This window comes from Homo sapiens, chromosome 12 (assembly GCF_000001405.40).
Source record: "Homo sapiens chromosome 12, GRCh38.p14 Primary Assembly".
Lineage (NCBI taxonomy): Eukaryota > Metazoa > Chordata > Mammalia > Primates > Hominidae > Homo > Homo sapiens.
This window is the reverse complement of record NC_000012.12, coordinates 119,026,083-119,053,766: the sequence shown is the minus strand read 5'-3', so window position 1 is coordinate 119,053,766 and position 27,684 is coordinate 119,026,083. Positions and strand designations below refer to the sequence as shown.

General features: G+C 42.1%; 1 protein-coding gene and 1 long non-coding RNA gene across 2 annotated transcripts in view; one reads left to right on the top strand and one right to left on the bottom strand.

Moving 5' to 3' along the window:
• The window catches only part of SRRM4 (serine/arginine repetitive matrix 4), a 181,511-nt gene that overhangs the window by 109,285 nt on the left and 44,542 nt on the right, over nucleotides 1-27,684 (bottom strand). The gene's annotated exons all lie outside the window — the stretch shown is intronic.
• SRRM4-AS1 (SRRM4 antisense RNA 1) lies at nucleotides 1,580-22,729 on the top strand. The gene is made up of 3 exons (XR_945431.3): nucleotides 1,580-1,767; nucleotides 16,800-16,982; nucleotides 22,445-22,729. It is a non-coding gene; the product is annotated as an SRRM4 antisense RNA 1 (long non-coding RNA).

The window sequence follows — 27,684 nt, the reverse complement described above, 5'->3', positions numbered from 1 at the left end:
ACAAAATTAAAAAAAAAAACTACTGTTGGGATTTTGATCACAAGGAAGGTTGTTTTACCCCAAACGTGGGACCCTTAGAGATGCCACGTGTGCAAATTGGTATGTTAGTCACAAAATACGCACAGCAGGTGTTTCCACTTGTTGAGTCCCTACTATGTGCTTTATATAATTATTTCACATTGACTATGTGATAAGATAGGAAATTTATTATCTGCGTTTAATTGACACCAAAACAGAGAGTCACAAACCTTTCTCAAGGCAACACAGTGCATGATGGAGCTGGCTCTTAACCTAGGTTTCCTTCCTCCTAAGCCACGTCTCCCATAGAATGTTTCTTAAGCCTCAGCTGCCCACACAAGACTAATAATGATTGCTGTCCATTTATGCATGTGTTTCCTATACTATTATTTGCTTATTATTATTTTTGCAATTGGCTTACTTTTTAACTTGATACATGCAATTAAAAAGGAAACTTCATATTACAATTGTAAATGGAAAATAAGTGTCCTGTTTATAAATAGAGGAAGGCCTTAAAATAGATACAAATGAAAACAAGAGAACATTATTAAATTCCAGCTATACACTGCTACTCGCCCCAGGCTCTGAGCCTGACACCTGCTCCTTCTTTTGTTAAAAAAAGGGAAGATTAGCAAGTGTTGAGAGGTGTTAAAAACATAGTAGCCCCAAACTGAGACAACTCTCTGACAATTGGAAGGAGAGAAAGTGAATTGAAAGTACAATCACTTTCTCACCATGAGATTCCATGAAATTTCATTCTGCTTCTATGCAGCCACCTCAAATCTCTCAGGCAAATAATAATTTGGGTACAGAAATTTGAAAAACATAGCACTCCAATCTCCAATTTATTTATTACCGAAGGACCTTCCTTTCCTATGCCACACCACGTCCTCTCTGTCTCTCAACAGTTAAACATCTTAGGCCAGGTGTGGTGGCTCACGCCTGTAATCCCAGCACTTTGGGAGGCCGAGGTGGGGCAGATCACGAGGTCAGGAGATCGAGACCATTCTGGCTAACACGGTGAAACCCCATCTCTACTAAAAATACAAAAAATTAGTCCGGGGTGGTGGCGGGTGCCTGTAGTCCCAGCTACTCGGGAGGCTGAGGCAGGAGAATGGTGTGAACCCGGGAGGCGGAGCTTGCGGTGAGCCGAGATCGCGCTACTACACTCCAGCCTGGGTAACAGAGAGAGACTCTGTCTCAAAAATAAATAAATAAACAAACAAAACAACAACAACAACAACAACAAAAAAGCAGTTAAACATCCTAGGTAATCTCTATGCCAGTACTTGGTTGGAATTAAACTAAGCTATAAAAGAAAGTTTACATTTTATACATCTCTTTCCCAGGTGAGTCTTGGAAACACTAAATTGGATGTTGACATATCCACACACCCAGTTATCACCAGAGAGACATACATGAAACCTAAGGGTCCTTAGCAGTGGAAACTCACTACCTGTCCCTCTCTTTCGTATGAGCCAGCACCCATCACTGCTACATGGGAACAGTCCACATCCACGAGAGCAGCCACAGTTGCCACGGTGATTATTCTAAACACAGCAGGTGATGTAATTCCCCTTGGGAGTGTGGCATCAAGCAGATGAATTGGGCGCATTGCATCTGATTCAGCCTCTTGAGGAGAAAGACTTCATACTGATCCAAATAGACTCCCGAGAGGCAGAAAGAGGAAAATGATAAATAAATGCCAGCCAAGCTCTAAAATGGAACACTCTAGCTGTGTGGCCACTGGTAAGTCATTTAGCTCAAATCCAGACATTCTAAATGTTTCTCACCAAATACCAAAACTTGCCCATGGTTACCTAGGTAGTAATAGAAGTGCAGATGGGCCCAGAAGACAGAAAGATTGTTTGATATTACCTATCATGTTTGACGATGCTGTAAAGCAGCATTCACCAAAATGTGCTCCACCAAACATCAGTTCTACCATACGTTAATCGTTGCTTGCTCCTCTAAGATGGAGTGGGGATGGGATTGTGTACTCAAAAGAAACAAGAGATTAAACAAAAAAAACCAGACTTTGTTGCTGCAGGACTTATCAGTGCCTTTAATATGTTCAGTGCAACGTGAAGGCCAAGGAAGGGAAAGTATTGTGTAGTCTTTCTTAGAAATTTGGGGTCATCAAATTTTCTTCTGTAGTCTAGTGGGTACTTTGAGAAATACAGCCCCATGGAGTAATCTTAGGGTACTTTCAATAAGAGAAGATTCATTCCCTCCACTTTCAGAAACCTCTAATATTTGGAAAAAATCTTCCTTAACTAAGAAAAAAAGCAGCTTCCCTGTAACTTGCATGCTTGGGTTCCATTTCAGCACCTTCTAAGACACATCTCTGAGCCTTGCTTTTTTCCCCCAGTAGAGTAGGAGTTTACTTTTCTCCCAGTGTTGGGAGGATTACATTGGATGGCTCAACTTTGTGAACTGTTGAGTGTTGTAAATATGTGAGCTGTCACCCACACAACAGCATCACAATCTTATGTAAATGCACATTGCTTCAGGTAGAAATCTTTGGGCTCTCCTGGAGGCTGATAACCTACAACATGGTTTTCCAACCATGACACTACTGGGGGTCTGTCCTCTGCACTGTAGATGTTTAGTAGCATCCCTAGCTTCCATCCAACAGACACCAGTAGCAATCCCTCAGTTGTGACAACCAAAAACACCTCCAACCACTACCAAATTCTCTTGGAGGAAAAAATTGCTCCTGATTGAGAACCACTGTTCTGGCTCTGCAACCTTTCTATGATGACAGAGATGGTCTACATCTTGTATCTCTCTGTCCAATATGGGAGCCACAGGTGGCTACTGAGCACTTGGGATGTGGCTAGGGTGACTTAGAAAATTAATTTTTAATTTTAATAATAAATTAATATTAAATAAATAGTACATTTAATAATAAACTTTTAATTTATAAATAGCCACAGATGGCTAGTGGCTACCATATTGGACAGTACAGTTCTAGATAACATAGTTTGAGGTCTATCTATTCAGTCAACAAATATTTGTTGAATACCTGTTAGGTGCCAACCAAGATGTCACACACTGGATATATAGTGGAAAATGGCAGACATGGCTCTTGTTCTTACCAAACTGTTAGATACTAAAAAGTAAGCTAGGATACAAGGCAATGTGTGCTTTGAGCTTTCATGACAAAAGATAACTCCCCTAAAGGTCTTACACTCTGCTGCAAGTTCCACCATATGCACCCCATTGAACTGCAAGGTCTCTAAAAGCACACGTATTACCTCAAGAGGAAAATTTATGAACACCTACTGATGCATCAGGATGAATTTGTTTATGCGATTAGCTATGCTGAGCAAAATCCCCAAGAGGCCCTTGAAAGCAGAGCCCTGTCTTGTTCATCATTATCATCACTAGAACCTGGCACATGTAGGTGATCACAACTACTTCTTGAAAGGAGATCAAACAAATCCAGAACAGATCCAGAACTCTGTTAAAGATGGTGAAGGTGTTGAAAACCATGTTATGCCTAGAACAAGTGAGTGTCCTTGCTGTCCTTTCTCAGTACCTGGCACAGAGTATGTGCTTAATAAATAATTGTTGACTAAAGATTGTGGGAGAGGGTTGCTGTCACCGTCCTGGAGGTATTGCTCAGGTATGAAGAGTGCACGATTGGCCCAGACAAGAGAGCTCCTAGATGAAGCATAAAGACAATAATGACAATAATAATTAGATTACTACTTGTTTGAGGCTGAATTGTGTCTCTCCAAAATTCATATATTGAAGTCCTAACCCTCAGTACCTCAGAATGTGATTGCATTTGAAAATAGGACCTTTTAAAATGTGATTGCGTTTGAAAATGGGACCTTTTAAACGGTAATTAAGGTATAATGAGGTCCTATGGGTGGGCCCTAATCCAGTAGGAGGTTAGGACACAGATATGTATAAAAAGAAGATGATGTAAAGACCTAGAGTGAGGCAGCCATCTGTAAGCCAAAGAGAGAGACCTCAGAAGAAACCAAACCTGCTGACACCTTGATCTTGAACTTCCAGCCTTCAAAACAATGAGAAAATAAATTATTACTGTTTAAGACACTCAGTCTGTGGCATTTTGTCATGGTAGTTCTAGAAAACTGATACACTACTGATCAGACTCCGTATTAAGAGCTCCACATGCATTATCTCATTAAATTTGTACCCTAGTTCCCTTAAAGCTACTCTCTGCCCCATAGCCAGAGTGATCCTTTCAAATGGAAGTCAGATTATGTCAGTCCTCTTCTCAAACCGAGGCTTCCTATCTCACTCATATTATAAAGCCAAGTCCTGCTAATAACGAAAAAAGTTGCCATACAAATTGGCTCCCTGTTATTTCTCTAATTTCATTTTATCACTTTCCTCTTCTCTCAAATTGCTCCAATGACACTGGCCAAGTATACACCCACCACTAGCTTTTGTATGTGCCTGGGATACACTTTGCCCAGATGTCTCCTGGATTGTTTCCACACTTCTTTTGACTCTTTGCCCAAGTGTGACTTCATGAGTGAGATTCTTAAACACCAGATGTAAAAAACAACCTGGGACACCTGTCCAATGCCACGCTTTTCCTATCCCCCTTACCACGTGTCATTTTTCTCCTTCACACTGTGTATTTACTTGTGTATCTGTCTATAGCCGGTCTTCTTCCACAAAAATTTAAGCTTCGTAAGGGCAAAGGCTTTCCTGTATTTATTGCTACATCTCTAGCACCTAGAACAGTGTCTGGCACACAGTAGGTATCCAATAAAGATGTCTTGAATGAATGAATCTGTCCTCACAACTTCTTGATGCAATTGCTGTTATTATTGTTATTGAGACAGAGTCTCACTCTGTTGCCCAGGCTGGAGCACAGTGGTGTGATCTCAGCTCACTGCAGCCTCTGCCTCCTGGGTTCAAGTGATTCTCCTGCCTCAGCCTCCTGAGTACTCGGACTATAGGCAAGTGCTACCATGCCAGACTAATTTTTGTATTTTTAGTAGAGAAAGGGTTTCTCCATGTTGGCCAGGCTGCTCTTGAACTCCTGACCTCAAGTGATCAGCCCACCTCGGCCTCCCAAAGTGCTGGGATTACAGGCCACTGCACCCAGCCCGCAATTGCTATTATTATTATCCTTATTTTACAGGTAAGGAGACCAAGGCTCAGAGAATTCAAACGTCCAGGTGTAAAGAAAGAATGGGAGCTGGTGGCAGGATTTGAACCCGATTTTCCCTGCCTCAGGTTCCCCATGCTCTTAAACACTAGGAGGGACTTGGAAAACTGTATCCCAGGCAAGTGATGAGAATATCTCCCAGAGCTCACAATTCATGTTTATTCTTAGTGTGTTATCTAGCTCCTTCACCTCCATCACATGGGCTCGCTAAATATGTCTTGATGATTTGATTTTAGGAAAAAGAAGAAAGGTAAAGGCCACTGGGAATTATTTCCCTTCATGTGCACTCATGGGCTCACCCCTGATTTGGAACTGGGTTAGGGAGACCCAGAGCTGGGTCTTGGCTTTACCGCCCTCTCCAGCTGCGGTCTGGGGCAAGCTGCATTATCACCCTGAGATCCAGTGTCCCCACTGTAAAATAGGGGTTCTAATTCTTGTTTCACAGGGTTTGTAAAACAGGGGTTCTAATTCTTGTTTCACAGGGTTGCAGTGGGGGCAACATAAAAGAATATTTGAGACAGTGAAACTCTGAAAACTGCAAAGTAACATGCACACAGAAGGCAGAATTATATCTCAAGATCTAGAATTGCAACATTTGTCTCTTATAAGAACTGCTAGCATCGATTGTGTATTGTAGCAGGTTGCATTATGGTTCTCTGTTCTGCTTCCTTGTCATGTGTCTTCCATGCCCTTTGTCATATGACTTTGCAGTTCTTCCTACTAGGGGTGGGCTTATTTGTCCACCTATCAGTATTGGGGTTGATCATGTGACCTGCTCCAGCCAATGGAGTAGGGAAAGAATGACAGTGTACCAGCTCCAGGCTTAGGCCTTAAGAAAGATTGTGTTTTCCCACTTGCCTCTCTTGCACTTCTACCATCACGTTGGAACTTGTCCAGGTGACCACTGGTCCAGGGAAATGAGTGCATGTGAAACAGATCTAAACCCAAGCCCAGCTGGGCTCAGCATTGATAAACTAACTGCAGTTGCACAAGTGAGAATAAATGATTAATGTTTTAACTCACAAATGCGAGCTTAACTATGAGGACACAAAGGGATAAGAATGATTCAATGGACTTTGGGGACTTGGGGAAAAAGGGTGGGAGGAGGGTGAGGGATAAAAGACTACACATTGGGTACAGTGTACACTGCTCCAGTGATGGGTGCACCAAAATCTCGGAAATCACTACTAAAGAACTTATTTATGGAACCAAGCACCACCTGTTCCCCAAAAACCTATTGAAATTAAAAAAAAATTTTAAAGTTAATAATAAAAGAAATGATTAATCTTTTAGAACATTGAGCTTGGATGTGGTTTGTTACACAGCATTATTGTGGCATTAGCTGACAAATGTACATGCTTGTTAAATGTCACTTTATGCTCATCATCTTATAAAATTTGTGGTAAATTTCATTATTGTTTCTATTCTAAAGATAAGGAAACTGGGCATAGTTTCAGAGATTTTCCCAAGATTATCCAGCAAAGAAATGGTGTAGCTAAGCCATAAAACATTGAACTGTGTGAAGACAGAGTCCACACTTTTTTTTTTTTTTTTTTTAGACGGGATCTCACTCTGTCACCCAGGCTAGAGTGCAGTGGCGAGATCTCAGCTCACTGCAAGCTCCGCCTCCCGGGTTCACACCATTCTCCTCCCTCAGCCTCTGGAGTAGCTGGGACTACAGGTGTCTGCCACGATGCTTGGCTAATTTTTTTGTATTTTTAGTAGAGACGGGGTTTCACCAGAGTCCACACGTTTTTATGTTCCAGACTGTGCTGCTTCCTTACACCTGTGAAATAGAAGACCAAATTGTATCCAGATAATTCAGACTAAATAAGGGCCATATCATCAGTGTTCAAGATGTTTCAGAGAGATTGGATAATGGAGAGTTCACCATGGTGAAATTAGAAGCAAACATACAAACACAAAACAGCAACAGAGAGGCCTGGAAAGACCTGGGTTCTGATTCTGGTTTTGCTGCCAACTGTGTGTCCTTAGTTAAATGCTCTCCCTCCTCTGGGCATTTTTGATGATGTTGAACTGTGAATCATGTATAAAAAATTATTTATGAGATGTCTCCATTAAGCTCTAGATGTTTCTTTCACAGGTTGTCTCATTTAATCCATACAAAATCCTTCCAGGGCCCACTAACAACCCAAAATGCAGAGATGTTAAGGTTAGATAGTTGGAATCCAAACCCAGACTGCCAGACTTATTTCAGAGCTCCAGAGTCCCTTCTAGCTCCCGGATTCTCTGGGTGAGTTTCATGTGGATAGAGGCCAAGAGATCTCTTTTTCTTGGCTGAGGTCAGACTTGGACTTTCCTCCTCCTGCTCCCAGGGGCCCACTGCAAAAGCTCTTTGATGAGGGTGAAGATAGGACCACTGCTCCCCTTCACTCTGCTCAGTCCCAGGCTGAGAAGAGATCAAGAGGTTCTGAAAACCAGCCCTGGGATATAATGGTGCCCAAAGCACGCCTCCTTTCCCCATCAGTGGGTCGCTGGGATTGTTAATAATAATAATTATTATTATTTTTAATTTTATTATTATTATTTTGAGATGGAATCTCGCTCTGTCGCCAGGCTGGAGCGCAGTGGAGCAATCTCAGCTCACTGCAACCTCTGCCTCCCGGGTTCAAGCAATTCCCCTGCCTCAGCCTCCTGAGTAGCTGGGACTACAGGTGCACACCACCACGCCTGGCTAATTTTTTGTATTTTAGTACAGATGGGGTTTTACCATATTGGCCAGGCTGGTCTTGAACTCCTGACCTCAGGTGATCCGCCCACCTTGGCCTCCCAAAGTGCTGGGATTACAGGCTTGAGCCACCATGCCTGGCCTAATTATTTTCTTTATAAAAATAATTAGTCCCAATCAAGGCAGAAGCTCTTCAGAATTACAGCTCATTAGCTGTGCCATGCATCTTACGGTTCCATAAAAAGTCACACGGTGCTGATGAAAATTACAGGTCCCTGGAATCGGCATTAGAGACAAATCTAGCCAGGGTTCCCAACCGATTACCACCAGCCACATGGAGTTGGCTTCTGTAATCACAGACCAAAGACGGAGAAGCAGGGTGTGTCTCTGTGAGTGTTTTGGGGCGGGGGGGAGCGGGGGAGTGGGGGAAGGGGAATGTGGGGCATAGGGGGCAGAGACAAAGCCCTGGGAGTTCCTAAGTCTTGATTATAACACACTCTGCCCTTTCTCCTTATGGAAGGGAGGCGTTTTCATCAAAGATACTGTTAAAATTTAAGTCAGAAGGAACAAGACATGTGTTGCTGGCTGTGAGGAAGGGGCGGGGGTGGGTCTTCCTCTTTGGAAAGCGTGGCAATGTGGAAAGATTTCTGAACAGGGATTCTGGAGTCTTGGGAAGTCTTGAGCCTGCAAGCATATCTGGGTTCAAATCCCAGCTTTGCACTAACTGCATGTGACTGTGGGTGTGTCCACCTTTTGGATCTCAGTCCCCACATCCGTATAGCTGAGCCCAGCGATGACACTAACAATGAGAGCTACCATGTCTCTAACACCTTCTACGGGTCAGACCCTGTTCTAAGTACTTGTATTAATTGATTCTCGTGAACAATCCAATGAGGTAGGAATTAGCTGCATTTCACAGTTGAAGAAACTGAGGCACAGCAAAGTAATTAACTTGTTCAAGGTCACTCAGTGGCAGAGCTGGGAACCAAACCCAGGCATTCTGATGCATAGAGTTCACATTCATACCCACTATGCCCCCATTGCCCTTCTCAAATTTTGGCTGAGGAGAAACCCCCTACAACTCTGTTGGGGGTCTCAGGTGCCTTCTTTTATTAATAGTAAAAATCATAATATATCAAGCACTTTGTATGTGCCAGGCTTTTTTTTCTAGATATTTTCCATATATTTTTATCTCCCTGGTTCCTCCCAGCAGCCCTATGACCTAGGAATTGTCTCAATCCACATTTTGCAGAAAATGAGGCTCAGGGAGGCTAAAGGACTTGGCCAAGTCTACACAGCTGGGTCTGTTTGGGTCTAAAGCTTGTGCCCATAACCATGGCATGGCACTGTACCAACAGCTTGCTCTTGCTGTGGGGGCTCTGGGAGGCAGGACATGTGGCTTAGGAAGCTCTGCTTCTGACTCCATTCTCCTCCCTGGAGTCCTGTCTCCCCATCTGTGAAAGGAAGAGGATTAGCTTTAATAAAAACTCTGGGCCTGTGCAGCTCTGAAATGCTACTGTCTGTACCTGCCCAAGCCCGCCCTCCACATCTCCCAAGGTACCCACCAGGAGCTGCATCTAAGGGCAAGAGCTGCACCTAGGGGCCGCCGCTGTCACCAGAAGGCTTGGGGAGGGACTAGCACCACTGACATAGAAAGTCTTCCTGGGTTGGAAAATAGCCTGGAGGGTGGCTGGGTCCTGGTGCCACCCTAGTGTTAGAAGTACAGGAAATAGGCAGGGTGCAGTGGCTCAGGCCTATAATCCCAGCACTTCGGGAGGCCGAGGCGTGTGGATTACCTGAGGTCAGGAGTTCGAGACCAGCCTGACCAACATGGAGAAACCCCATCGCTTCTAAAAAATACAAAATTAGCTGGGTGTGGTGGTGGGCAGCTGTAATCCCAGCTACTTGGGAGGTTGAGGCAGGAGAATCACTTGAAAACCGGAAGGCGGAGGTTGTGGTGAGCTGAGATCGCGCCATTGCACTCCAGCCTGGGCAACAAGAGCAAAACTCCGTCTCAAAAAACAAAAAACAAAAGTCCAGGGATTGTCTAGCCAGTGGGTCCTCAAGGGCATCAGGAGATGCCCAAGACTTGTGTGTGTGTGTGTGTGTGTGTGTGTGTGTGTATGCGTGTATGTGTGCATGTGTATGTGTTTGTAACTCACTGTTCCCCTACGCCCTTTTCTTCTCTCCCCATGCCCTTTCTTTTTTCTTTGTCCTTTCTTTGTTTTTGTCTCTCATTGTCTCTCCACATCTATTGCTCTGTGCCCTGCTGACTTCCTTGGTCTCCTAGGACTTCCTAAACTTCTTTTTGCTGTATGCATGTATTTATTTATTTTTCAATTTCATTTTATTTTATTAAGTTCTGGGATACATGTGCAGGATGTGCAGGTTTGTTACATAGGTAAATGTGTGCCATGGTGGTTTGCTGCAAAGATAAACTCATCACCTAGGTATTAAGCCCCACATGCATTAGCTATCCTGATGCTCTCCCTCCCCCTCCCCAACAGGCCCCAGGTGTATGTTGTTCCCCTGTTCCCCTCCCTGTGTCCAGGTGTTCTAATTGTTCAGCTCCCACTTAGAAGTGAGAACATGAGGTGTTTAGTTTTCTGTTCTTGCGTGAGTTTGCTGAGGATAATGGCTCCCAGCTCCATCCATGGCCCTGCAAAAGACATGATCTCATTCCATTTTATGGCTGCATAGTGTTCTATGGTGTATATGTACCACATTTGCTTTATCCAGTCTATCATTGATGGGCATTTGGGTTCATTCTGTCTTTGCTATTGTGAATAGTGCTGCAATGAACATACACATGCATGTATCTTTATAATAGAATGATTTATATTCCTCTGGATATATACCCAGTAATGAGATTGCTGGGTCAAATGGTATTTCTGTCTCTAGATCTTCGAGGAATTGCCACACTGTCTCCCACAATGGTGGAACTAATTTACACTCCCACCAACAGTGTAAAAGCATTTCTATTTCTCCGCAGCCTTGCCAGCCTCTTTGCTGTATTTATACTTTCCCTCACCTCTCTTGATCTCTCCTGGCCCTTGCTTTCCCTTTCATGCCTCTCATAGTCACTCTATCACATGCCCCCATCTCTGGCTCTCTTTCTTGTTTCTTATCTTCTTTCTCTCCTCATTTCTTTCTCTTCTCTTCTCTGCCTCCATCTCCAATCTCCCCTCCACCACTCTCAGTTCCTTCCTCCCTCTTCCTGCCCTTCTTTCCTCTTCTCCTTTCTTTTCTCTTCCTTTCCCTCTCCTCCTCTCATCCCTCTTGCTATCTCCTCTTTTCACCTTCTCTTTCATCTTCCATTGTCTACCACCCCCTCTTCCTCTCAGATCTGCCTTTTGCTTCTGCTTGTGTAAGGCTGGCAGTGTCCTTGGTGGATGGTGGATCACACATATCAGAAGTTTGAATCAAATCAAACTGCAACTGAATTACACTAATAAACCAATTAAATACCATTCAAAAAGTAATTTCCATAGCATCTCTCCTATTTATTGCAAGTCTTGTTTCTCTGTCGCTGCCTCTCCGTTCCTTCCACATGTCTCTTCTTTCTCCGCTTTTTCTTTCTTGCCCACCCTCTGACCCCTCCTCCTTTCCTCTCCCACCAGGCCTGCTTGCAGCTCTCTTTAGCCCACCCACCTCACTGTACAACCTGCTTCCCCAACCTGGGATTCAAACTGCATTACAGGGCAGTTAGTCAGATGAAAAGACCACTGACCTGGGAGTCAGGAGACTTGAGTTCTTGTTCCTAGCTCTGCCACTGACTGCGTGTTCTTGGGAAAGTCTTGGAGTCTTTCTAAGACTCTTGTCATCCGCGAAATGAAGGCATTGGACTGAGTGATTTCCAAGGTCATCCTTAGTTCGTGAAGTTGGTTCCATGACCGCAAATGACATTAAAGTTTCCAAGAGATACAGGGTCCTGGAAAGATTTGTTACCACCCTCTACCCACCGCCTTAAAGCAAGGCCCCTGGTAGGACCAAGCCATGCTGAGAAGATTGAGCTCGGATTGCTATTTGTAGACAGTAGGCATTCTCCCGCTTTCACTGAGAATGCTCATCACCCTCTGACCACCATCCAGAGCATCTAATCACCTGTGTCCCACTGTTCCCTCTCTAAAAATAGGAGTCTCAACACTACCTGATTTCCAATCAAGAATCAAGTGGGGCACTGGTTGTTCTCCATTTGTACCCAGTCCACAGCAGTTCTCTCTAAAAATACAAAGGCATCCTACAAAAGCTAAAGAAATCAGAGATCTTGGTCTGGAAACAGGCTTCACCTTATCACCTGACTCTGCTTTTCAACACAGAGTGCAACTTTGAAATGTCCATGGGATCCATATTGCAGGGCTGTCATTTAAACCTGTAGGGTTCATCGTGTTATTCTTGAAATTGAAATGCCATTGATATTATGCAAGTTATGTAAAAAATAATTTATATGGGTAAGTTGTGAAAAGTACTTTCCTACTCACCATTTCACTGGATCTTCAGAATATCTCTGTAAGATTAATCAAGGCATATTATCCTCATTGGACAAATGAGGAAACTGAGGCATCCACAAGTTAAGCGGCCCAATCAAAATCATATTAATTTAGAGGTGTGACTCCAACCTACCATCTAATTAGACCCACGTGCAACTGGATTTTAATCATAGCTCTGCACTTATTAGCTGGGTGTCTTAGGCAAATGGCTTGACCTCTCTGTGCCTTGGTTTCCTCATTTGAAGGACAGGGGTAATACGAGTACCTTTCACAGAATTATTAACAATCAAATAAGCTTATATATGTAAGAAACTTAACATGATGCCTGGATATAACGAGTAGTCAATAAAGTAGTCAACCACCAGGCATGGTGACTCATGCCTGTAATCCTAGCACTTTGGGAGGCTGAGGCGAGTGGATCACTTGGAGTTCAAGACCGGCCTGGCCAGCATGGTGAAACCCCACCTTTACTTAAAAAAAAAAATACAAAAATTAGCCGAGCATTGTGGCACTTGCCTGTAATCCCAGCTTCTCAGGAGGCTGAGGCAGGAGAATTGCTTGAACCTGGGAGGAAAAAGTTGCAGTGAGCTGAGATCATGCCATGCACTCCAGCCTGGGCAACAGAGTGAGTGAGACTCCATCCCTCCAAAATAAAAATAAAAATAAAGGGTAGCTCATTTGATCCAACAATCCCACTACTGGGTATCTACCCTGCAGAAAAGAAGTCATTATTCCAAAAAGATACTTGCACACGCATGTTTATAGCAGCACAATTCACAATTGCAAAATCATAGAACCAACCCAAATCAAGTCAACGAATGGATAAAGAAACTGTGGTATATATACACAATGGAATACTACTCAGCCATAAAAAGGAATGAATTAACAGCATTTGCAATGACCTGGATGAGACTGGAGACTATCATTCTAAGTGAAGTAACTCAGGAATGGAAAACCAAACATCATATGTTCTCACTGATATGTGGGAGCTAAGCTATGAGGATGCAAGGGCATAAGAATGATACAATGGACTTTGGGGACTTGGGGGGAAGAGTGGAAGGGACACAGGGGATAACAGACAACAAATATGGTGCAGTGTATACTGCTCGGGTGATGGGTGCACCAGGATCTCACAAATCACCACTAAAGAACTTACTCATGTAACCAAATACCACCTGTACCCCAATAAATTATGGAAAAATAAAATAAAATAAAATAAAATAAAAGGTAGCTGCTATTATTATTATTGTTCTTATTGTTATTAATGTAGGGACAGGTGCCTTTTTTTCTCCTTTCCTCACATACATGTCTTGTCCCTTAGGGGAGGTGACTTCTATCCACTCTTTCTCCATATTGGGAAAGTTACATATAACTAACATTTCTGATCTTCTGCCCTCCCCATATTCACTCCCCTGTATGTGAAAGTTGGCATCCAAGTAGTCAGAGAATGGAAATAGTTGGGACAGGCTTTATTGGTGTGTGGGGCAGTGCGTGTGCTTCACCTGCTGTTTCCTGCCCTGGTATATGGGTGGCTGAGAAAAGCTCTCTCTCTCTCTCTCTTCAGCCACGTCTGCAAATGTGGGTCTCAGGTTTCAGGATTTAGCCCAGGTATCAAAGGCAAATGTCCTCATTCAGCCTCAGAACCAGGTCACATTTTCTACTGCAGCCTTCTCAAGTTCAGTGCTGGATATTTATGATAATACTTTGTGTTTTTTGTTTGGTTATTAATCTGCCATGTGGTTTATATACCACCTTTGTAAGGTGTCCAACAATCTTAGTTTATCTAAGACTGAGGGGCATCCTGGGATGCGGAACTTTCAGTGACGAAACTGGGGAAGTCCTACACCAGCAGGGATCAGGTGGTCACCCTGCATATTGGTTCAAACTTTGAAGTGATGAGTGATTTACTAAACTCCTTAAACAAACAAATAATAACTGTATAGAAATAGTAATGCTAGTGGAAAAATGTGAAAATAATAGGACATTTGAAATACCCAGGAATAAAATAGAGAAGAAAATAGTTGATGTCACCTATAATTCCATCACTCAGGGACCACCCTAGCCAGGCCCTCCAGGAGACACCCTTGTGTGTACTCAAGAGCATGCCATTTACATAGGCTGTCACATACATGGTGCTTTCTTGGTGTGCCGCGCAGTGTGTCAACCCTGACTGCAACGTCACTGAGCTTGGCTTGTAATCTTTTCCCCTAGGAAAGCAGGGGTAAGCCCTATGGCAGGACATGGGGTGTTGGTGCCCCAGTTTGGTGATGAGAGCTGATTTGATCCAACTCTTAGCATATTCCAAAAAGTAAGAGCTGAGATGATGCTTGTTGCGTTTGAACCCAGTCCCATCCCAGATTTTCTTTATTTCTTCAGCTCCCTGTTCAGTACTTGCATTTTGAGCGTTGAAATGTGGAGCTGAAGTAGACAAGATCTGCTCTTAGTAGGTGGTGTTCCACCTCAAGGGATCAGCTGGACCTCTTCAGGCCAGTTCAGCTCCTCAACTGCATCCCTCTGGCTCCCGTAATAACAGTATGTGTTTTGGAGGATGAGGAACAGTGAGGGAGGATCATAACAGCTTTCTACAAATAGCTGATAACACGTCGGATCTAACTGGGCAGCAGGAATACCACCAGCAAATTCCTGAGGACAGAACCCCCTTGTAGCACCCCATGAAGACATGAAAATGAAGAGGAAACATGAAAAAACGTGGAGCATGAATCCAGAACACTTGATACTGTCTGATAAGAAGGAAACAAAAGAGCACACAGAAATGATGAAGCAAACTTTGCTGAGTTGAGAACAACTATCTGCAAGTCAAACAGACGTAGCAAGTTCCAGGAACAAATAATGAGAAAAGACAAACACCTAGAAATGTTGGTAAAAGTTTTTAATTTCGGCCGGGTGCGGTGGCTCACGCCTGTAATCCCAGCACTTTGGGAGGCCGAGGTGGGTGGATCACGAGGTCAGGAGATCGAGACCATCCTGGCTAACACGGTGAAACCCCGTCTCTACTAAAAATACAAAAAATTAGCCAGGCATGGTGGCGGGTGCCTGTAGTCCCAGCTACTCGGGAGGCTGAGGCAGGAGAATGGCATGAACCCGGAAGGCGGAGCTTGCAGTGAGCCGTGAGCTGAGATGGCGCCACTGCACTCCAGCCTGGGCGACAGAGAGAGACTCTGTCTCAAAAAAAAAAAAAAAGTTTTTAATTTCAAGGATAAAGAATCAAGTGTATTAGCAAGGCAGAGGAGGATTACTTATCTGTGTTGCTACTGGACTGTCAACACAAAGAAGGCAGAGGCCATGCCTACTTGATCTTTGCTGTGTCCCCAGCACCCAGCAAAGTGCATGGCCCATAGTAGTTGCTCAATAAGTGCTTGTTGAATCACCAAATAAATAGATATAATAGCATTATTAATCCCTACCCAAGTTAGTCATTCCTATAGTATTTCAGCCACCATCATACTTCATTGACCTGCTGGCTCAGCAGAGAATATTACTATCCTCATTTTACAGTTGAGGAAGCTGAAATTCAGCAAGGTGATGCTATTATTCAAATTTACGTATCCAGCAATCAATGGAATTAGAATGAGAACCCCGATATTTCAAGTCCTAAATCTGGGCTCTGGCCTTGACTGCTTAGAAGCAGCCCAAATACATTTCCATGCCTTCCTTCCCCTTCTCTTCGGCGAATGTTCAGCTTCAGTTCCACCACATGCCCAGCAACACATATATATAAGCCAGCTGTCCCCACAGTGATCACAGTCTGGGAGGCCTAATAGACACCCACAGGGTACACATATAAATAAATCAGCCATGCTGACCCACAAAGAAATTCCATGTGATAACCTGGCCCTTGGCAATGAAATCTTGATTCACGCAGATCTATTTTCCTTGGTGGATAATTTTTCATCCAGACTATAATGTGATGGGGAGGCTTACAGGCATCCATAAAAAATTCAACAGAAATCCAATCCTCATTCTGAAGGGCCGGTGACACCCTGTCTCTCCCCCTGCCTCCCAGCCTCCCCACCAGCTCCACCCACAAGGCCCTGCAATCTGTTTGCATTCTGGATTGGAAAAACTATTTTCTGATGATGATCCTTAACTCCTGGGGCATTTTCCGCCTCACATGGTATGGTATTCTGCAGTCTGGGTGTCATTTATTCTGGTAAATCTCTCTCTCTTTCTCCCACGGACTCCCTATCCCCCAAACCCCCATCACCATTTGAGCAAAACAGACCAAACCAAGACCCACCCACCCAAGAACTGGGGGGAACCACGCCCAGGAAAAATGGTGGAGCTATTTATTGTTTTCACCAGCAGGGGGCGTGGACCTCTCTTGGTCTTGTGTTTGATATCGCCTCGTTTCCACCACAATCCATTTCTAAGACCTTTCGGGAATGGGACAGAAATTTCTTTGTGTGTCCTCTTTCCCCAGAAGCGTGAGTGGCTGAAACGAAGAGAATGGACATGGAGCCCACCCGGAAGAGCACCCTTAACATCATCATATCCCTGAAGCACGAGTCGGGGTGGTGGGACTGCCCTGGAAACCCTGCACACAGCTGGCTTGAGCAGTGGGTATTTTCATAAGGCATATATGGGCATCACAGAACACTTGGAGGTACCGTTTTCCTTTCTGTCCAGGATCTTCTTTCTTTGTCTTTTCTGCATTCACTGCATCTTTTCCCCCTTCCTTCTCCCTTAAACCTGGACCATTATTTTCTGGGACATTATTTGAAATCTAACTGGCAAGCAAGAACTCCTCAGGGATGTCATCCATTTCCTTCCACTGGTGGTCCTCAAACTGCCACTGAGATGATGAGTGAAATACACACATTGAGGGAAACCTGTCTTATTCCTTTATTCAACCTCAAGACACTCTGTTTCTGCTGGAAGCTGAGGAAGGGAAACTCTCACAGCCAAAGACACACTGGAAAATAGCAGCAGGATATGGGGTTGTCAGAGTGAGTGTGGAAGGAGGCCCAAGCTCAGCTGCAAGCCACCGTATGCTCAGAACGATGGGCCTGGAAGCAAATGGAAGAGACCCTGGCTGAGCCTTACAAACACCTGCCTGGAAGCCAGAGCGGGCTATCAAAGACATTGAGATCAAATTTTGGAATCCAGCGGTATCTTTGGAAAGCAAAGCGGAGGCAATGGCCACACCAAGTGGAGCCTGTGGCACTGGTTCATAGAGTACTTGAAGTGTGAAGACGTGGGACACTGCTGAAATTTTGCTGACTGAAGTCTGACACCACTTCTAGCTTCCCCAAAAACAAGAAAAAGAAATTTTTCCATGCAGGCAAAACTCCTTGTCAAAGATATCATTGGCTCCATCTATCTCTTATCTCTCCAAGCACCTGACTCTTTGAAAAGGAAAAGGAAAAGGAAAATGACAATAAGAATTTTCCCTTTTCCCTTCATGTGGCCTGAAATATCCAATCAGAGATCGACTAAGCCCCTCTTAGAACATATGTAGGCCTCCAATTTATTAGAAGCAAGTACTTCACTCTGTAAGCCAGGGGCCAGCAGATAAAGACATTTAGCCATATGAAAAGACTCAAAGTACAGAAGAAGGGGATAAAGAAAGAGACTCAACAATATAGAGTTACTGCAAGCAGAAAGGTTTAGAAATGTTCCTGATAAGATGGAAACAGGACATCACATCTCTGTAACTAGAGGGGATAATCAGAGAGGGGCACCTATGAAATCTGGAAAAGGCCAAGGAAATGAAAAACAACTTGACCCAGTTAAAAATAAAATTGCAATTGAAGCATGAAACAGTAGATTGAAAATGATAAAGGATCAATTTTTAAAAAATAAAGATGAGGTTAAGAAAACTTAGAAACATGGAAATGAAAAAGGAAAAGTAAAAGATACAGAGCATGGATTCACAACACCCAAAATTGTAGAATGGGAAGGAGAGGCAACAGTACCAAGAGGTAGTGAAGAAAACTTTGCTTGGCTGAATAATTACTTCTATCTGCAAACTAAATGCACCTACTAAGTTCAAGGAAAAAGTGGTGAGAAGCAACAAATGCTCAAACACATTGGTCAAACTTTTCCAGTTTCAATAACAAAGAAGCAATTCTACCAGCAAAGCAGGGGAGAATTACTACTGCTAAGAAACAGAAAACTAGGCAGGCCCCAAATTTCTTCTCTACAATAAAAACATTGCAGTTTTCAGGGGGAAAAAATTGTGACCCACGAATTATATAGTTAAAGAAGGTAATATTCCAATTGAAGAGGAGAAAAGTCAATTTTTTTTAAATGCAAGGGTTAATTTTTTAATTTATACACTCTGAAAAAAATTATTCAAGAATATACTGTGGCCAAGTAAGAAGTTAGTCAAAATAAAGGATTGTATAGTTCATATAGTGAGAGACAGGGAATGAAGCAAAATTTAAAGAAGCCTGAAAATTTCGCCTCATAAAACAAGATGTTATATTGGTTATGACCGTAATTGTAAAAGGGCTAAATTTCAGTGCTAATCACCCAAATTCTCAGTTGTGAGTAAAAAATAGAAATCCAAGTCTATTATATGAATTTTTAAGGGATATGACAAAAAAATGATTAGGAATAAAAGTATGGCTAAAGATTCATCAGACACACCAAAAGAACCAGGGACGAAAGTGTCCACAAGCAAATAATTCAAGGCAAGAGAAAACAATATTCAGAGAGGGCGTTTTGCAGGGGCAGCAGATTTAAGCCATAAGGAAGATGCAATACTATAGACATTTCTGTATTGAATGGCACAGCTTCAAAAGGTATAAAGGAAACACTACGAAAAATAAAAATACAAGGAGAAACAGCCAAATCATAATTTTATTAGACTACTTTAACATTCTTCAGTAAACCAAGTAGGTAAAATTAGTGAGTTTGAGTAATATGCATGCATTAGATTTTTAGACTGCTGAAGAATGAACATGATTCTTGAACACTGAACAAACAAATCCCCAAACTTAGAAATTCTGCAACTGTGATGGAGACCGGGATGCCCCACCCAGAGTCATCTTCAACAAGGAAGAGTGGATCCTCCCAGCCACTGAGAGTCCTTCCAGCAGACAGCACTCAGCTGTCAGCCCTCTCCAGAGTCTGTTCCCACTGAAGAGGCCAAAGCCATGTCCCCTTCCTGGGGCAGCCTGTTTTCAATGATTGGTGTGGGGAATAAAACCCTGTCCTCTTGTTCTCAGCTCCAGACAACTTGAAAAGATCCTTCAGAGCTCTCTGTGGTGTGGGCTGAGGCCTCCACTGAGACCTCCTTGCAGCTCAGCTTCTCCCTCTGCCCAGTCCTACTCCCTTTCCTTTCTTTCCACAAGTGTCGCTTGACCCCAAGGCCCCTTGCTCCTAAGTCGCCTGTATGCTAATTTCCGTCTCAGACCCCACTGTCCAGACAACCCAATCTGTGAAACAAACTAATGTTAGAGTTGTTTCCAGAATACTTAAGCAAAAACACCAGAAGGATATATATGAATGTATGTGTTTCTTCTATATAGTTACTAGAACAAGACTGAAAAATTTAACTGTAGCCAACTTTGAACATATTGACATTGGGAAAATTACATATCAAGTTTATTAATATGTGCTGCTAATTCTATACTCAGTAGAAAATTCATAGTGTTAAATACTTTTTTATTATAAAAGAAAGAATGAAAAATCAATAAACCAAGAAAAATCAATCCAGTAAGGTGGAGAAAGAAACACGAAACATGTCTAAAGGTGAGAAAAGTATTTTTTTTTTTTTTTGAGATGGAGTCTCATTCTGTCACCAGGCTGGACTGCAGTGGAATATTCTCTGCTCACGGCGACCTCCGCCTCTTGGGTTCAAGCGATTCTCCTGCCTCAGCCTCCGGAGTAGCTGGGACCATAGGCGCGTGCCACCACGCCCAGCTAATTTTTGTATTTTTAGTAGAGACGGGATTTCACCATGTGGGCCAGGATGGCCTCCATCTCTTGACCTCGTGATCTGCCCACCTCCGTCTCCCTAAGTGCTGGGATTACAGGTGTGAGCCACCGCACCCGGCTGAGAAAAATATTTTTTAGAGATGTACTCTGAGGTGTGTAGGGGTGAAATAACATAATCTCTAGGGTTTTATTTAAAACATTTCAGCAAATAATACAAAGAAAAGAGAAAAAGATGAAGCAAATGTGGCAAAATTTTGGTATTTGTTGTATATTGCTCATGGATCTGTAAGGAAGCATACATTATATTATTTGCCCTAAGTTTTAGCGTGAACATTTTCATAAAAAATTAAAACAAAGGAGGAAGGAATAATAAAAATAAGTGAAGACATTAATGAAGTTTTTAAAAATTGAAAGCTAATGGGATGGATATATACATATAAAAACTGGATCTTGAAAAAAGTCAACAATAAAATAGGTAATTCATCATATCTAACCAAGGATAAAGCAGGAAAAAAGAATACATATCATTAGGAATATAATTATAGATCAAAAGTTAGATTTAAATATTATGGGACTATTATAACTTTTAGCTGATAAATTTTAAATTCTCAACAAAATCGACAATTTGCAGGGAAACATAAATTACCATATTAACATAAGAGACAGAAAATTGGTGAAACTATTAATGATAAAGAATCTGAAGGATTGTTACATGGTTAACTCTGTTAAAAGTCTTGGGCCTTGGCCACTCTAGAGTAAGATCTTTCCAACCTCCAAGAACCAGCAATATCATACTTCATAAATTATATCAAGACATAGAGAAGGGAGAAAGCTTCCCAAAGTATTTGAGATTAGCATAACCCTAATCTTGATAAATAAGAAATCAATCTCACTTTAAATACAAATGTCAAAATTATTAATAAACTATTACCAAATGGAAAACAGAAGTTTTTAAAGAGAGAAATGGGCCACAACCAGTGAGATTTATTCCAAAAAGTCAAATAAGAAAAAATATTGGGATCATTTAAATTAATACTCTCCTCTCCAAAGTCAATACTCATTACAGATGTAATTGAAATGTCTCTGCACAAAAAATAAATTTGATCAAGGACATATATTACACAGAACACCATGCTTAGTGGTGAAACACTGGGGACATTCTTGAAAAAGACACTCACTACTGTCTTTTTTATCTTACAATTTCTCTCGGAATTTCTAATTAATGCAGAAAACTGAAATAACAGGATTGGTATTTCCACACACCATCCTTCCCTTCCATACCAACAAGAGAGATTCTAATACCCCTTCTTGGGAGGGGACGCTTCATTCCCAGTCAGGATACACACTATGAGATATTATTATACCATCACTCATTGCTCAGGTGAGAAGAGTGAGGAAAAGATGAACTGTGGATTAAAGAGTTAAAGATAAATAATGAAACAACAAAATTACTAATTACTATCAAAAATGAACTTTAGATAGTAATCTATCTAATTTGGGGTGATGGGCTTTTTAGGAAAAAATGCAAAAGAAGAAATTATAAAGTAAATATTGCTGGGTTTGACCATTTAAAAATTAAATATTTTTGTAAATTTTGCAACCAAGACTTTAAAACAAATGGTAAAATCAGAAAAAATATCTAAGATATGCATTAAAGACAAATGGTTAATAAAATCTTTATTCTATTAAAACTTTGAACAGCTTTTTTTAATGGGCAAAAATTATGAATTAGCAATTTGCAAAGGAAAAAATAAATGAGCTCTCAAAGAAATGCAAATAAAAACAGGATATCATGGTTTTCCTATCAAATTGAAAAGACTTTAAAAATGATGACCCTTTAGGCAGCTAGGTTTTTTCATGTACTCCTAGAGGGAAGACTAACTTATGTGGCTATCCCAGGGGTCAATTTATCAGTAAATCTCAAAACCCTAAAAATGTTCACATCATTTTGTCTAGCAATTCTACTTCTAGAATGTAGTAGGCATACTCCAAGATGATCCCTAATAATCCCTTCTTTCTGGTGTTCACATTCTTATATAATCCCCTCCTCTTGAGTGTGGGCAAGACCTAGAGCTTCCTTCTAACCAATAGAATATGGCAAGGGTGATGGTCTATCATGTCTTAGTTAAGTTACGTAAGATTGCAACATTCATCTTACTATCTGACTCTTTCCATTGCTAGCTTTAATGAAGACAGCTGCCATTCTGTGAGCTGTTCTATGAAGGAGCCCACTTGGCAAGGAACTGGGGGAGGTCTCAGATTAACAGCCAGCAAGAAACTGAATCCTGCTAACAACCACCTGAATGAACATGAAAGCAGACCCTTCCCCAATTGAGTCTTCAGATGAGACCCAGTGCTCACCTGCACCTAGGTTGGAGCCCTAAGAGAAACCTTGAAGCAGAGGAACCAGCTTAACCTGATCCATGGAAACTATAAAATAAAATGTGTGTTGTTTAAACTGCTAAATTTCTGGAAACTTATTACCCAGCAGTACATATCTAGTGTATAAGGATTTACCAGAAGAAAATAATCATGGATGTGTGCAAAGATCTAAACACAATGACGTTCACTGCAAATTTTTTAATAATTGAGAACATTTGGAAACAGTGTAAATGTCAATGAATATAAGGCTGGAGAAATCAATTATAATACAGGTGAACCATATGAAATCATTTTTGCAGGTTAAAAAAGGTCGAATAGCACTAATTTTATGTGTTTCAACCTAATGCATTCGTATGATATGGACATGAAAATAGTATTTATGAAAAATACAATATGGGGGAACATCATAAAATTTCATGATATATTGTTAAGTGAGAAAAATGGCTTATAAAGCAATGAAAATATGATTGTAATTTTGTGAGAGAGATATACAGATATGCATAGAGAAAAAGACTGCAGATATACCAATAAAAAGTGAATAATGTTTACCTTCAAATTTTAGAATTTGGGGTGATTTTTATATTCTTTTTTTCTGTACTTCTGACAACAGACTTTTTTTTGTAATCAAAAAGCAAGATTAATTAATACAAGTCAACAATGGAATAAATTCCTAAGCCAGAACTAAACTCTCTGTTTAGAACACTGTCCCTTGTTGCTCACAAATCACTCTGCCTGATTTCCTGGGCTTACAGAATCCCTGAGAGTGTGTTTAGAGGTGCCCTGTGATATCATCAACAGCTCTACCGGATTACTTCTTTGCCTTACGGAAATCTGTTATCCTCCCTTGTGGGGAGGTTCTTCCCATCCTGTGTCATACCCTTGGTTCTTTGAGTTGCTCTCTCCAAATCCCTTGGTTCCTGACATTTCATAATGCTGGGCAGTAGAGGGGATTTTGAGGAAAACATGTGTGCTGAAAGAATGTGGAAAATCACTATGCATTTTTCTCTCGCATTTCAGTTACCTCTGCCCTTCTGTTGCTGTTCCGTTTCATTTGTTACCCAGCTAATAACCCTATTAGAAAGCTGAAACGTTCCCCAGCTTAGTCAAGAATGGCTGATGGATTTTCTCTCTCAGACTCCAGAAATGCCTTGGGACAGCTGCATGGGTCCCCAGGTATGGGCCATTAGCTGGAAGGTCATCCTCACTGAGAAACCTATTCCCCTACATTAGAATTCGCTCCTACCAGATTTACCTGGTGCTGTCTGCCTACTGTGTCTCTGACCCTGCCATGTCTGCATTTAATCCAAGGCTCCCATTACCTGGAGGAGAAGGGGATCTGTGTGATGTGATTTTGGCATATTCGGCAAGTTCCATCACCATCAAAACATGTTTTATCACTGCAGGAAGAAACAAACGTGTAGGAGAAGAGTGAGTTGGTGACTCTCTACATTTTCTTTCCCTGAGAAAGGTCTTAAAATACTTCAACTTCAAAGCTAAGTCTAGTTTGTAACAAGATGGATTTAGGCCAACCAGAAAGACAAGGATCACTTCTGTTTGACTCACCAGGCATCTATGACAGTCCCTGGCACAGAGAGGGCTCCTAATGAATGGTTGTTGAATGCCTCAGTGGTTGTTGAATGACTCATTGGTTGTTGAATGGATGACATGAAAAATTTCTAGCACATTATTAGCTTGGAATTTTCACCTATTGGTCCAAATTCTTATCTTGGCAATCACACGGCACAAAACTTCTCTCCTCTGTTTGCTCACATGCTTGCATCTTCATGTCTTCATCAGGGCTTAGCATACCCAGCGCCTTCAATCACTCTTAGAATAGTATCATTTTCCACTCAGTGACAAAGGAGAAATCACTGTCCTTGTCCTTTGCTTTGATTAAGGAAATTAGAGTGGGAATAAGGGAGCAGGTTCTGGTGGGAGTATATGTAAGCCATGCTTCTCCTTCTTCCTTGAGGGAATGGGGATGGTGTAATGCCTACCCATCCCTCTCATGAAAAAAGATATTGTGAGTTATTTCTCACCTTTGCATATGGGGCACAGTATTTTCCCACCTGTGTGCTTTTTGCAGTGGTGGCCTTCTTCGTTGTCCCTTTCTGTCTCTAAGATCCCTGCTATTTTCCTGCTCCTTTTTATGGAGCAATTCTCACTGTGTGTCCTCACCATAATCCCTCCTGCTATGTTGAAACCCCAGGCAAAGTGTCTATCAGCTATAACTTGGCAAGTCCAGTGTTTCTCTCATCTTGCCTATAGCCTGGGATCACCGATTCAAATTTATTTTCCTTCAAGGCCTTTTCTTCCAAAAAGTCTCTCCTGCATGTGCAGCCCACTGTTGTCTCTCCTCCCGAATTTGTGGTGCATTTATATCTGGGGACAGCATGGTACAATAAACACAGCATGGACTTTGGAGCCAGGGTGACCCAGGTTCAAATCCTGGCTCTGGAATTTGTCCATTGTAGGTATGTACAGATGAGTTGCTGTACTAGTCCATTTTCATGCTGCTGATAAAGATATACCTGAGCCTGAGGAATTTACAAAAGAAAGAGGCTTAATGCACTCAAGTTCTGTGTGGCTGGGGAGGCCTCACAATCATGGCAGAGGTGAAAGGCATGTCTCACATGGCGGCAGACAAGAGAAGAGAACTTGTGCAGGGGAACTGCCCTTTATAAAACCATCAGATCTTGTGAGGCTTATTCACTATCATGAGACTAGCACGAAAAGACCTGCCCCCATGATTCAATTACCTCTCACAGGGTCCCTCCCACAATACATGGGAATTGTGGGAGCTGCAATTCAAGATGAGATTTGGGTGGGGACACAGTCAAACCATATCAGCTGCCTATACTAAGCCACTTTTCACATCTGTTCAATGGGGGTAGTCACCCTTCCTTCACAGAGTTATTTTAAGGCATTGGCTCTCAAAATGTGATTCCCTAGAACAAATATCATCTGAGAACTTGTTAGAAATGCAAATCCTAAGACCACCACCCCAAATCTGCTGGAAAGTCTAGGGGTGGTGCCCAGCAATCTGTGCTTTAACAAGCCTTCCAGGTGATTCCGATTCATGCTGAAGTTTGAGACCCACTAAGTATTAGCAACAACACGTGCAAAGCACCTGCATGCATATGTTTAAGAATCTTTGCTATTATTATCCTGTGCATACTCCACTCGGGTTGATGCTGTCTTGCATTAATTAATCTCTATATGGGGATGCAAAAGACCACAGTGGTTATAAAAGTACAGGCCCCGAAGTCAGACTCAGACTGCTCTAAATTCCATTTATACCAGCTTTGTGGTCTCGGGAGGGTTCATATCCTTTATGTGTCTACATACCTGTAATATGGAGACAGGGATCATAATAATAAATACTCTGTTGTTTGTTGTGGGGAGTAAAGCCTAATAAGACATGTAGAATACTTGCCCACTGTCTAGTGTATAATAAGTGCCCCCCCAGGTTATCTATTATTATAGTCTCCAATTGTGTTCATCTCACCTCAGTTATAACATAAACTCTTCATGAGCAGGGCTGATATGTAGCTCATTTGCATCATGCAGGGTATACAGCAAAGGCACAATGAGTGCTTGTAGATCTGACTCATTGTGCCATATATTAATATCTTAAAAGATAAGATTACTAGCATTCTCATGGTCAGGTGACTTGAGTTGACATCACGAAGGAAAATTGCCATTGAAAAAGGGACGTGACCTTTCAGGAAGACTAGGATTTTGTCCCTCCGCTGCCACCTACCCATTCTGTGACTTTAAGATTCCATTTCTTTGTCTATAAAACAGGGGTGATACTTTATATGAGTTTAGAAACAGAAAGCCCTAACTCACATTGGTGCAAACCATAGAGAAATACAGGATCACAATTCCCAGGAGTCTGGTTGGGTGGGTGGGTGATCCAGTGTTGGTTTAGTTGGTGCTCCATGATGTCATTTGGGGCCCATCTTTTTTTCTCTCCTGTTCTTGATGGAGAGCTGTGCTCTCAGCTGCTCCCCTTGGGATTCCAAGATGCCAGGCAGTCCCAGACATCACTCCCAGACATCAGCGTCCAGAGGAATAAAGGAAGCATCTAAATGTGACTCCTTCTTGAGAAGGAGAAATTTTTCCCCAAAGCCTCTTGAGCAGACTTCTCCCATTCCTAAAACATTTGCAGGTGTGAGAATGGGATTACCATGATTAGTTTACACTGATCACCCGAGGTGTTGTGGATAAACTGGGGGTTCTCCAATGCTATGCCTAGAACAAAATTTAAAGGATCATTGTGGGCCTGGCAAAGTGGCTCATGCCTGTAATCCCAGCACTTTGGGAGGCTGAGGTGGGTGGATCACTTGAGGTCAGCCTGGCTAACCTCTGTTGAAACCCTGTCTCTACAAAAAAAACAAAAATTAGCCGGGTGAGGTGGTGCACGCTGGTAATCCCAGCTACTCGAGAGGCTGAGGCACGAGAATCACTTGAACCTGGGAGGCGGAGGTTGTGGTGAGCCAACGTCGCGCCATTGCACTCTAGCTGGGGCAACAGAGTGAGAGTCCATCTCAAAAATAAATAAATAAATAAAAATTAAAATTAAAAACATTAATTAATTTAGAAAAAGGATATTTGTGGTGATAAAATGAGATCACTGTACATACACTGTGTCTAGCACACAAGTGACACTTATAGATGTGGCCCTTGTCCTCTGTTACTTCCTCTTTGAGTCCTTTTTCTTACCGCTCACATACAGGAACCAAGTTCTGTGCATTTTGCCTCCTTAATATAACTTCAAATTGTCCATTTCTCTATGTGATCCTGTCACCTTCCAAGTCTAGGTCAATATTATCTCTTTCCTGAACCTCTCCAGCAGCTCCACCTCACATTTCTTTTTTAATTTCATTATTGAACCCTTCCTACTTATCTCCTCCACAGCCACAGAGTGATTTTTTTCATGACATAAATTGCTTAAAATCTTCTGTGGCTTTCCATTCTCTCTAGAATAAAACCAAACCCAGATGTGGTGGCCATGAGAATCTACCGCCCAGATC